This window comes from Homo sapiens, chromosome 18 (assembly GCF_000001405.40).
Source record: "Homo sapiens chromosome 18, GRCh38.p14 Primary Assembly".
In the NCBI taxonomy this organism is placed as follows: domain Eukaryota; kingdom Metazoa; phylum Chordata; class Mammalia; order Primates; family Hominidae; genus Homo; species Homo sapiens.
Genome location: NC_000018.10, coordinates 9,507,846 through 9,521,254, shown reverse-complemented (window position 1 = coordinate 9,521,254; position 13,409 = coordinate 9,507,846). Strand labels below are relative to the sequence as shown.

At 39.2% G+C, this 13,409-nt stretch overlaps 1 protein-coding gene and 1 pseudogene across 8 annotated transcripts in view; one reads left to right on the top strand and one right to left on the bottom strand.

The window, feature by feature from the left end:
- Positions 1-13,409, bottom strand: part of RALBP1 (ralA binding protein 1) — a 63,106-nt gene that overhangs the window by 16,860 nt on the left and 32,837 nt on the right. For all 8 annotated transcript variants that reach the window (XM_047437278.1, XM_047437282.1, NM_006788.4 and 5 more), the window contains 2 exons: positions 7,966-8,264; positions 3,952-4,410 (listed from right to left, as the gene is read on the bottom strand). In XM_047437278.1, coding sequence (XP_047293234.1) covers positions 3,952-4,410; positions 7,966-8,209 — 703 coding nt within the window. In that variant the 5' untranslated portion in view covers positions 8,210-8,264. The remainder of the gene's footprint in view (positions 1-3,951; positions 4,411-7,965; positions 8,265-13,409) is intronic.
- On the top strand, positions 2,995-3,136 carry RNU2-27P (RNA, U2 small nuclear 27, pseudogene; annotated as a pseudogene).

Here is a 13,409-nt window from a genome sequence, read left to right as displayed (position 1 = left end):
TAAGCAAATATGCCCATTAATTCAGGAATTTGTTTTTAATGTAAAAACATTACACAGTGGCGCACACCTGTAATCCCAGTACTTTGGGAGGCCGAGGTAGGTGGATCACCTGAGGTAGGGAGTTCAAGACCAGCCTGGCCAACATGGTGAAACCCTGTCTCTACTAAAAATACAAAAATTAGCTGGGCATTGTGGCGGGTGCCTGTACTCCCAGCTACTCAGGAGGCTGAGGCAGGAGAATCGCTTGAACCCAGGAGGTGGAGGTTGCAGTGAGCCGAGGTCACACTACTGTATTCCAGCCTGGGTGAAAAGTGAAACTCTGTCTCAAAAAAATAAAAAAAAAGGTAAAAAGACAAAAATTAAACTACAATCCAAGTGTAAGTCTGGCTCTACACAGGCAGCCAGCTGCTTTTTCTAACAAGTCACAAGACTGACCACAAAAAAATGTGGCTTGGTGTACCTAAGTATGTTCCAAAAAGTTGTGGGTAAATTACTTTTTTATGTGTAAATATTGTACTGTAATTGCAAAGGGTGAATTAGCTACCCAAACAAACACTTTGAAAATTATTCTCCATTAAATCATCCCCATCTAATTTCTATTTTAAAGTTTGGATTATTTTAAGTATAACCTTAATCTGAACAGAGCTGGAACAAAAAAAATAAAGTATGGGTTTCTAAAATCGTTTTGCTTATTGAACAAAAGGAAACTAAAGCAAATGATTTGCAAACATTACATAAGATTTTAAGTCTTTAGTACAATCTGCATTAAGTGACGTAATTTAGTGGCGATTGCTCAGAAGAACACAAAGTAGTTTTTTGCTGTTTTTAATACTTAACACTTTCAGCCAATTATGTGAAACAAGCTACAAATTAACGCTGATAGTTTCTGTGGGTAAATGCAGTCTAAGCTGAACAGCACTTCACAGTGGTTCCTTACATCTGGACTTTGGCATTCCTTATCCTTTGTGAAAATCTTTTAATGGCATTATGATAAATCTGTAACTTATCCAGTATTGATAAAATAAAATCAATAACAAAACACAAAAATAACACTATTATTTTTATATAATCTTTATTTTGTGACAGAAAATTAGAATTCCCATTTTCTTACTTTTATGACAATATGGGTAAACCATAAGTGATAATAACTGAAATTCTTGGCAAAGATTTTTTCTCTTCCTCATGTATATTTAATTCTTCCCCCTATAGTACCTACCCAACAAATTGTACAAGTAGACAATTAGAATGTGTGTTTGGTTTGTCATTACTCTGAAACTGTTATCAAAATGTTTTCTTTTTAAAAATTGGACACTACAAATGAAGTGTTCCACAGAAAGAAAGAGCATACAGGTACACTTTAATCCAAAAAATACAAGAAAATGTAGATGAGTAAATTAAAATGTACAAAATCACTTAAATTGTCTTTCATATTCGTTTAAAATTAGATAAGCAAGAACTAACACTTCCAGCAAAAGGTCTTAAAATGCATAAGTGAGAACTAACATCTCCAGCAAAAGGCAGTATTATTATTAGCACTGTCCATGACAGTAGCATAAGTCGGGCTGACTACAGCACATTGCCACAGGTTAGAGAATAAACCCAAAACTCAGCAGAGCAGGAGTTCAGCCCCTAGCTGTTGCAAGGATGGGCAGCAGCTCTGTCTGAATGCTTTTACACACAGAGAAGAGTTCTATGACTCTGAATTTCCAAAAAAAATGCAGACATTAAAAGTAGGTCAGAGACAAAAAGAATCCTTTGAACAAAGCTGTGGAAAATTTTCAGAAAAACTTTTACCTAAAACAAAACTAATTCATGGCTATTAAGACCATGTGAGAGAAGCAACTTATGTTATTAATGTTTAAATGTTTAAAACTCAATTCAGTATATTATTATTATTATTTATTTATTTTTTTTTTTTTTGAGACAGAATCTTGCTCTGTTGCCAGGCTGGAGTGCAGTGGCGCGATCTTTGCTCACTGCAACCCCTGCCTCCCGGGTTCAAGCTATTCTCCTGCCTCAGCCTCCCAAGCAGCTGGGACTACAGGCGTGCGCCACCACTCCTGGCTAATTTTTTGTATTTTAGTACAGACAGGGATTCGCCATGTTGGCCAGGATGGTCTCAATCTCCTGACCTCGTGATCTGCCCACCTCGGCTTCCCAAAGTGCCGGGATTACAGGCGTGAGCTACCATGCCTAGCCAATTATTCATAAAAATCAAATATTTGTTTAAATATATTTATATAATACTAAGGAGTTATAAACTCAAATTCAATGCCTAATTTATTTAATTTTCTATAAAAAAGTAACATTTTACCAAAAATACTCTTAAATAATGGCATGTAATCTAGTGGATTATGTAACGGTTTTCCCAATTATCAAAAATATCTGCCCTTTCTCAGCAAAACTTAAGTATCAAATCTACCTTCTAGAATTGCGTATGAACCAACTAAATGAAAAAACTAAGTCTATCTCTCTATATATTCCACATGTGTATGACTTAACAACTCATCATGAAAGTACTTGTGACCAACAAGTATTATTATTATTATTTTTGAGACAAGGTCTCAATCTCGCCCTGGCTGGAGTGCAGTGGTACGATCATGGCTCACTGCAGCCTCAAACTCCTGGGTTCAAGTGATCCTCCTGCCTCAGCCAACAATTAACTTTATAAAACAAATCTCTAAACAGAAACTGATGAGGTACCAAGACACTGAATAATGGGAATGTAATAATTTGGAACACAGATGCTGCTACAGGTCAGGGCTTTCATCCTATCCTGGTATAAAAGTCATACCGCTTTCTAAGAAATCTTTTTACTTTTAAATAATATACATATTGCTTGATTTAGATACCCAATCAAAACACATTCTTTCCAAGTATGAAATTTAATTTGTATACATATGGAATAAAGATAAATAGAAAATCCATTTTGCTAATATACGTAATAGTTGCATGTAGCTGACCAAAGCATTCACATGTGGGGCCTAAACATTTACTGCTTCTTGGTCTTTTGGCTAAAGTTGGGTGTAGTATCTGTTCTAGGATTTCTGGAGCAGGGAGATGGAACAGAAGCTTGCTTGGACCACTCCATGTATTGACCGGGTACTGCACTAACTCTAAGAACCGCGCACCAAGAAAACCAAAACCAAAACCATGTCATGCCTCTTAGCTGAGCTAAGGAAATGCATTATATGACTGTGTCCATAAACGTGTCTCTTGGCCAAGAAGCTTCCTTCACACAGTTAACCTTTCTTTTCTTGCTGATGGCCCTCATACCACTGAGCCTCTGCTTAGAGAGGAAAGAAAAAAAAAAAAAAAAAAGCAGGCGCCTGGGAGTGGTGGCTCACTCCTGTAATCCCAGCACTTTGGGAGGCCGAGGAGGGCAGATCATCTGAGGTCAGGGGTTCGAGACCAGCCTGACCAACATGGTGAAACCCTGCCTCTACTAAAAATACAAAAATTAGCTGGGTGTGGCGGCAGGCGCCTGTAATCCCAGCTACTCAGGAGCCTGAGGCAGGGGAATCGCTTGAACCCAGGAGGCAGAGGTTGCAGTAAGCCGAGATCACGCCACTGCACTCCAGCCTGGGCAACAGAGCGAGACTCTGTCTCAAAAAAACAAACAAACAAAAGAAAAAAAAAAGCAGGGTCTGAATGCAGCCCTGTTAAGCAATGCTGCCAGTATACTTCACTTTGTTTTAGTCCTGGCTGCTGCAAGCTATGAACAACTAACGTGAAATCCTCCTAATGGAAGGAAATATTAAAAAAACAAATGCCAGAACACCAAAGAAAGGCTGGGGAGAGGGGTGGATTTTTGTGCAACTGGTAGGATCAAGGAAATGAATAAGGCTTAGGATCCAGGCCAAATTTTCCTCACAATAATTTTTCTTCCTTCGAAAAATGAAACTGAAGTTATTATTAAAAACCATCAAGTGAAGTGCACATTCCCAGTACCTGATACTCTGTAGATGCCTTCACACTTCATGCCATACTTCTCTACGTAATCTATACATTCACGGAAAACGGCTGGCAGCCGAATGCCATCATACATCATGGTCCTCTCTACTGCATCAGCCAAAGGAATTCCAAAAATGGGTTTGAGATTTGGAACATCAATCTGAGGCACCTCTGGCTCCTGAATTGGCTTTTTCTTTTTCTTCTTTTCCTTCCACTGTTTAACAACATCAGCTGCTGTCAAGTCTTTTGACTTCTTCTCTTTATGTTTTTCTTCTTTGTGCTTTTCTTCTTTATGCTTTTCTTCTTTGGGTTTCTCTTTTATTTTAAAATCCTTTTCCTTCTTTTTAGAAAAGCTGGGCTTCTTGAAAACATGGATTCCCTTGGACCTCTTCATTTTAGAAGGACTTTCTGCCTCATCTCCAGAGCTATCTTCCTGAAAGGCTGCATAGCCTTCAGCTGCCAAAGAAACAGAGACAGTATAAGTTATATGTTTGTTTAATGTCAAACTGTCCATATGCTTTCTAAAAACAGAACCAAAAAACGGTGCCACCTGGCACCAGCTAATCTAGCTTTTCACTTCTTGGCCAATTCCTCCTGGGCACTCCCAGCAAAGAAATGGGTTTCTTCTCAAAAAGAGATGTTGCAGTGACATCTCTTGACCACAAGAGGGGGACAAATAGATAGCAGTTACCATCCTTACAATATTAGGAGGGGAAACAGGGTTTATATTACATATGTGTGTAAGTGGAATTCAGGCAAACCAAACATTAGAGATACACCTGAAAGGCTCTACATAGAGGGCTAATGGAATGAATCCTTTTCTAAAGTAGACCGAGCATCCTTTCATCACGTGAGTCGTGTCCTCTAACATACTACGGGTTGAGTATCCCTTATCTGAAATACTTGAGACCAGAAGTGTTTCAAATTTCAGATTTTTCTGGATATTTGCATTATACCAGTTCAACATCTCTAACCCAAAAAATCTGAAATCCAAAATGCTCCAATGAGCATTTCCTCCAAGTGTCATGCCAGTGCTCAAAAAGATTCAGATTTTGTAGCATTTTGGATTTTCGGAATAGGGATACTCAACCTGTGTTCACTTTACCTACCCTAGCTTTTCCAGCTAAGTGCTGCCTAGCCTATAACTTTAGGCAATCTCAGAGAATGACGAACTGCACTACTGTTTATGTGTTTCAGTTATTCTCCTATGACACTTCACTCTCCTGTCACCAGCTGCTAAGTTCTTTATGGAGACTGCAGCAGGAACTGCAGACTCTTTTAAGTAGAGGATTGAACTGAGAAATTCCCTCATCTTTAGATGGTGGCCAAATCCACTGGGCCCACTTCCCTGCATCAGAAACCTCTGGTTTTTCACACACTGACAAATGTGCCCAATTGCTTTACCAACCATGTCAGAGTTGTCATAGTTTGGTTTTGTTGTTTTTTTTTTTAATATCTGTAACTCTCCTAATTCTTTTCCTTAGCTAGCTACCTTGCAAGCTATTATATAAAAGATAACAGCTATTTCCTAAGTTACCCTCTAACTAAAATACCATGTACCCCACACCAACCAGAATGGCAAGAATCTTAAGGACAAAATACCATGATGCTTTAGCAAGTGGAATATTCATACATTGCTGGTGAGAAGGTAAACTGGTACAAGCATTCTGGAAGACTGTTTTGCAGGGATCTACTGAAGCTGAAATACACATGGCCTACAAATGAGCAATTCCACTCCCAGGCATAAACATAACAGAAATACAAAAACATGTACACCACAGAAGCACTATTCATAACAGTCAAAAACTGAAAACCACCCAAACAAGCAACAAAAGTAGAAGAGATTAATAAACTCTAACATATAATGCAATGAAACAATATCTAGTGCAAAGATGAACAAATTACTGCCACATGGAATAACATGAATCAATCTAACAAACATGTTAGGTTAAAGCTGCCTCCTCATGTATTTTAAGTTTGGCCTAAAGGTTTCTCCGAACATAGGGAACTGTAACCTAACTGGATGTGTACACAGACTGTAATCTACTCTTGTACCAATTACAGAGTTTTGGCCAATCACAGGGGGGCAACTGTTCAAACTGCTCAAATAAGGCTAATGCCATGCTATAACCAATCCAGCTGTTTATGTACCTCACTTCTGTTTTCTGTGTGTCACTTTACATTTTCCGTCCATAAATATTACGTGACCATGTGGCAGCCCCAGAGTCGCTCTAAATCTATTCTGGTTTAGGGGCTACTGGATTCCCTAATCGTTCTTTGCTCAATTAAACTCTGTTAAACTGGCAAGGCAGGGTGGCTCACACCTGTAATCCCAGCACTTTGGGAGGCTGAGGTGGGCAGATCACTTGAGGTCAAGAGTTTGAGACCAGCCTCACCAACATGGTGAAACCCTGTCTCTACTAAAAATACAAAAATTAGCCAGGCATGGTGGCGGGTGCCTGTAATCCCAGCTACTTGGGAGGCTGAGGCAGGAGAATCACTTGAACCTGGGAGGCAGAGGTTGCAGTGACCCGTGATCACACTATTGCACTACAGCCTGAGCAACAGAGCAAGACTCTGTCTCAAAATAAAAACACAAAAGAAAAAAAACCCATTAAATTTAGTTTGTCTAAAAGTTTTACTTTTAACATATAATATTGGGTAAAAGAAGCTAGACACAAATAGAAGTATGCGTAAGTTTAAAATCAGGCAGCATCAATCAACAATAAAAGAAGTTTACTTATGGGAGGGGTAGGTGATTCCCTTTAAAGAGGCACAAAAGAAAATTGATAATGCTCTATTTCCAGATCCTTGTAGTGGTTACACAGGCATACCCACTCATCAAGTTGTATACAATTTGTGTACTCTGTGTAATTCTTCAAAAACAAATCAATTTAAAATGTCATGAAGTTCAAAATAAGGAATACTTAACATAACTCACTTTATTTGCTTTTAACATACTAAAAAGCCACGCTCAAATGATTCATCCTCCCTACTGAATAGGACCTCAAATGGAATGTATCATGGTATTTGCTTAAGATAAATAGCTACTTTATTGAAGGTTCCAAAAAAGTGTATCCCAAATAGCGAACACGACCTACCCAAGAAAAGTAAGATGCCTTAAGGGGAAAATTCCAGTATCTACCTTTTTTTGGGTGGGGCGTCAGCGGAGGAGAGGACAGAGTCTCACTCTGTCACCCAGGCTGGACTACAGTGGTGCAAGCATAGCTCACTGCAGCCTCAATCTCCTAGGCTCCTAAGCGGCTGTGACTACAGGCACACATCACCATGCTCAGCTAATGGTTTAAATTTTTGTTTCTCAGGCTCTTGAACTTCTGACTTCAAGCAATCCTCCCATCTCAGCCTCCCAAAGTGCTGGGATTATAGGCGTAAGCCACTGTGGCCAGCTTAATATCTTTCTAGACATCATTTTGAGTTATTACTTCAGGAAATATCCGCTAGAAAACTTTTCCATTTCTGGAAACTCAGTATTTTTATTTGTGAGATTAAGATCCCAAAATACAACTCTAATATACAAAAACTGAGACCCTGAAAAATAAAGAACAGAAAAGTCAAACAAGAATCTCTGCCTTCACATGTTTCCAGAAGACAGCTGGTACATGTAATTAGAGTGGAAGTTTATTTAAAATATATCTAGGACAGGCATAGTGGCTCACGCCTGTAATCCCAGCACTGTGGGAGGCCGAGGTGGGTAGATCACTTAAGGTCAGGAGTTCAAGACCAGCCTGGCCAACACGGCAAAACCCTGTCTCTACTAAAAACACAAAAATTAGCTGGGCATGGTGGCGCACGCCTGTAGTCCCAGCTATTCGGGAGACTAAGACATGAGAATTGCTTGAACCTCGAGGCGGAGGTTGCAGTGAGCTGAGATTGTGCTACTGCACTCCAACCTGGGCAACAGAGCAAGACTCTGTCCCAAAAAATAATAATAAAATAAAGTAAAATAAAATAAAATAAAAATATCTAGGCATAGGAAAAAATGGCACTTACTCCTCTTTTCCTTTTTCTTAAATTTCCCTTTTTTCTTCCCATGATCTTTCTCATCATCAGACACTACATCAGGAGGCTCATGGAGGATGTCATGGGGAGGTGAGGGCTCGCCAGTGCGGTACAATCCAGGAAACTTAGTAGGGCTGATCTCTTCAGAGCTGGGGGTCCGGGTAAGCCCGCTGCCATGCTCCACCCTGCGGTGTTCACTGGGGCTGCTGGTGGGGGGCAGGAAGCACTCAGTCATGCTGATGCCCTGACTAGGAAGGGACGAGGTCTTCTCTGTTACCTATCCATTACACCTGCACCAAGAGAAAAAACATTAGCAGAGTCACCTAACACCAAGGAACAAAAACACCACAGCATTTACAAATCAAAAATATTTTCTCCACAAACCCCCTTGTAAAAAACTCTTTCATTTTATTGTCTCGAGATATATTCCATGCATCACACATTTCAGTTCTCAGGGTTGAAAGCACTGGGATCTTCGAGTATTCAAAAAATAAATCAAATGAAAATCAGAGGTAGAGTTCTCAAAGTAGAATATGGAATTCCTTAAAAAAAAAAAACCACTCATCATTCTAAAGTGCTTCATTTTGACTGCTCCCCAACATAAAATCTTACTATTTTGCTTTATGACTAAACAACTATAAATAAGTTACAAAGACGACTTTATAACTACATATGAACAGTTCACATCATAATTAAATTTTATAATTAAAATGATATATTTAATGATTCATATAATTACAGACCACTGATTCTACGATGCATGCAATTTTATATGCAGCTCATGTATTGATAATAACTATATTTTTGTACTGCAGTTATGCTAAAAGAAATGAAGGAACCCTCATTTAATCAATCCTAAAATACATGCAAAATAGTTTTACTACAACAGATGCTACAAAGGACAAATGTAAGAGGAGTTCAAAATTTGTTTGCATTTTCTCCCTTCTTTAGGATGGTAGGTACACAGTCAAAGTACTGCGTTTGAAAGTTACTTGGATTAATTCTTATTCCTCTTTAATGTCATTATGATATTCATTTGAAATACTATCAGAATCACTTTTTCTCTTTGCGCTCATTTATTTTTTTTATTTTTTTTGAGAGATGGAATTTCGCTCTTGTTGCCCAGGCTGGAATGCAATGGCGCAATCTCGGCTCACTGCAACCTCCGCCTCCCAGGTTCAAGTGATTCTCCCGCCTCAGCCTCCTGAGTAGCTGGGATTACAGGTGCCTGCCACCACACCCGGCTAATTTTTTGTATTTTCAGTAGAGACAGGGTTTCACCATATTGGTTAGGCTGGTCTCGAACTCCTGGCCTCAGGTGAGTCACCCGCCTCGGCCTCCCAAAGTGCTCGGATTACAGGTGTGAGCCATCGTGCCCGGCCTCTCTTTGCACTCACTTTAAATGTTAACTTTACAATTTAAAAAATCCACAAGCCATAAGTGACAATTCTGAGACCATAAATAAAGTCAAAGGACAAGCAAATGTGGAAAAAAAAAAGTTGCAAATTGGGAGAGGTAATTTCTTTAAAAAGCAAAGAGTTATTAACAAATTAATGAAAATAGCAACAAATTAAGAGAACCAGACAAAGGATGTGAACAGGCAGTTCACAGAAAAGTGGCTAAAAAATGAGTGGAAACAATGTTCAACTTCAATTATAATTTTTTAAACAATGAGCTATCACTTTTCTAATGTAAGAGTGGCAAAGTACAAAATGGCACATATAAGATCCATTATGATGGTAAGGATAGAGGAAACAAGACTCACGAGAACACCTACTAATGGTAGAAGTATAACATGATCCTTTTTGAAAAGCAATCTTATCGTAGCTATTAAAATTTTAAATCTATTCTCTTTGATCCAGAATTCTGCTTTTAGGAAATTATTCTTCAGATATACTTTCACAAAAATGCAAAGATATATGCAAGAAAATATTCACTGCAGTACTGTAAAAACAAAAAACAAGATAATCTAAAATGCTATCAATAGAATACTGATTAAATTATGGTTTATCCAAATAGGCTATAAAGTCACACACACACACACAGTTTCTGAAAACATGTAAGAAACGGTTAATTACTGTTAACTCTTGGAAGCGTCAGAAGGGTAGACTTTATTCTAACACTTAAAAAAATGAAAAGGGGCCTGGCACGGTGGCTCATGCCTTTAATCCCAGCGCTCTGGAAGGCCAGGGTGGGTGGATCACTCAAGCCTAGGAGTTTGAGACCAGCCTGGGCAACACGGCGAAACTTTGTCTCTAAAAAAACAATACAAAAAATTAGCTGGGCGCATGCATGTTCTCACTCATAGGTGGGAACCGAACAATGAGAACACTTGGACACAGGATGGGGAACACCACACACTGGGACCTGTGGTGGGGTGGGGGGAGGGGGGAGGGATAGCATTAGGAGTATACCTAATGTAAATGATGAGTTAATGGATGCAGCACACCAACATGGCACATGTATACATATGTAACAAACCTGCACGTTATGCACATGTACCCTAGAACTTAAAGTATAATAAAAAAAAATTAGCTGGGTGTAGTGATACACGCCTATAGTCCTAGCCACTTGGGAGGCTGAGGTGGGAGGATCACTTGAGTTCAGGAGATGGAGGTTACAGTGAGCTGAGATCGCACCACTGCACTCCAGCCTGGGTGCCAGAGTGAGACCCTGTCTCAAATTAAAAAAAAAAAAAAAAGAACAAGCTGTTTTTTGATCCTGTAAAAATTATGTAACATTAAAAATCATGTTGACAATATTTAATGATGTGAGGAAAAAGCAATTTTATTTACAGCATATCAATTTAAATATATAAATATATGTATAAAATAACAGCATATTAATAACAATTATCTCTGGATTTAAGATTATGACTGATCTAAACTTTTTTTGTTTTTCTGCATTTTATAAATTTTCTACCCAATATGCACTATTGCTTACATAACCAGAAAAAAAAAATATTAAAAACAAAAAAGTTTTCACTGAAGGATCAATAAGCATCAGTATAATTCTGTTTTTCTTAATGGGCCCTGACTTTCGGCTATCATTTGGTTTTTTGTTTTTGTTTTTTTGAGATGGAGTCTCGTTCTTGTTGCCCAGGCAGGAGTGCAGTGGCGTGCTCTTGGTTACTAAACCTCTGCCTCCTGGGTTCATGTGATTCTCCCACCTCAGCCTCCCGAGTAGCTGGGATTACAGGCACCCACCACCACACCTGGCTAATTTTTGTATTTTTAGTAGAGATGGTGTTTCACCATGTTGGCCAGACTGGTCTCAAACTCCTGACCTCGGGTGATCCACCAGCCTTGGCCTCCCAAAGTGCTGGGCTTACAGGTGTGAGCCACCATGCCCGGCCTTGGCTATCGTTGTTTTTTTTTTTTTGTTTTTTTTTTTTTTTGAGACTCACTCTGTCGCCCAGGCTGAAGTGCAGTGGCGCGATCTCGGCTCACTGCAAGCTCCGTCTCCTGGGTTCAAGCCATTCTTCTGCCTCAGCCTCCCGACTAGCTGGGACTATAGGCGTCTGCCACCACACCAGGCTATTTTTTTTTTTTTTTGTATTTTTAGTAAAGACAGGATTTCACCATGTTAGCCAGGATGGTCTGGATCTCCTGACCTTGTGATCCACCCGCCTTGGCCTCCCAAAGTGCTAGGATTACAGGCGTGAGCCACCAGGCCCGGCCTTGGCTATAGTTTTTTAAAGTGCATTCCCTTTTCCTATTAATTGAAGTTTTGACAATCTAAGAGTTGAGAGTTTAAAAGGACCTAGAGTTCAACAAGGTAACAGGAACTATACATTAGAGATGAGGAAACTGAGCTCAAGTCCATGGAAGCTAAAACACAACTTGTGGGGCAGGCGCACAGGTTTACACTCCAGAAAAAAAAAATTGCTTATAGACATATCACCCACACGGATACCATGTTATTGTATGCTTCTCTGTCTTTGCTCATTCTCTCCCAGGAATCCAGCCTTCCTCTCAATATTTTTGCGTGGCTAATTCATACTCATCCTTTAACACTAGGCCTACAATTGGGCATGATTTTGTAGATGATGGAAACATTCTAAATTTGGATTATGGTGATGGTTGCAGAAACCCATAAACTGGCTAAAAATCATTAAATTATACACTTCGAGTGAGTGGATCTTATATGAGTTCTACCTCAATAAAGCTGTTTAAAAAAATCAAGCACTAGCAACACTTCTCCAAGAATCCTCCCTGGTGACCCACCCCATCCAGTATAAGCCACAAATACTCCTTTTCTGTGTCCTAGAACATCCTGAACATACCTCTTCACAGCACTTACCATACTGTATTTCAATTACATATGCATGTGTTCACCTTGCTAATGGTGAGCTCCAAAATTTAACACTACCTATGGCACACAGTAAGTAGTCAAATGTTTATTTAATAAACTAATTGGTATCTTTTCTGTTCTCAACATATTTACTGCTGATGAGACAAATATTAGAAGAAATGAATCTTGCCCTAAGCCTTAAGTTCTAATTCAGGAAATAAAGGGAATCAACAATTTATTTGAGTTCCTGTGGCTTCTGGAACGTTCACATACATTAATTTAGCTAACCCTGTGAGAAAAGCAGTATTTTTCCATGTTTATAAACAGAGAAAGTAAGGCTCAGAGAGCTTAAATAACTTTCCCTAAATCACATAGCAAGTAAGAGATAAAACTGGGATCTGTTTGACTCAAAACACTTTTTTTTCACTGAACCACCCTTCACGTATACACACAAAGAAAGGGAATAAATACATTTATGCCAGGAGGAACAGTGTGGTTAAAGACACACAGGAACATTTGGGACTTATTATGAGAATGGGGTGAAGACCAGCCTGACCTGGGCAGTTCTTGCTAAGAAGTAATGGAAAAGACATTAAAAGATAAGGTGGGCTCAGACACTAAATGTCATGTTGAGTTCAGACCTGGTGTGGGAGTCATTACCAATTCCAAAGCCAGAAAGTGACAAAACTGGGGCTAAGAGAGGAGTAAGGGCAGGAATACCAGCAGCAAAATGCCAGGTGGCTTTTGATCATTCACCCCTACAACATTTGTAAGTTATACTATACTACATTTCCATGTTCTCCTGGTACACAATTATTTTTGTTTCCATACTAGACTGATAAAGACAATTAGACAGTTTTGTTCATAAAGTATTTAATAGATTATCTGACAAAAGCTACTCTAAAGAAATATTTATTGACTTGTGCTATGGACTGAATGTGTCCCCTCAAAATTCATATATTGAAACTTAATCCCCAAGGTGATGGTATTAGGAGGGGGGGCCTTTGGGAGGTGACTAGGTCGTGAGGGTGGAGTTCTCATTAATGGGATTAGTGTCCTCTTATGAGGACACTCCCTCCTCCTCTTATGAATTCACCACCTCCACCCACCACATGAGAACACAGCAAGAAGGCCAGGTCTAT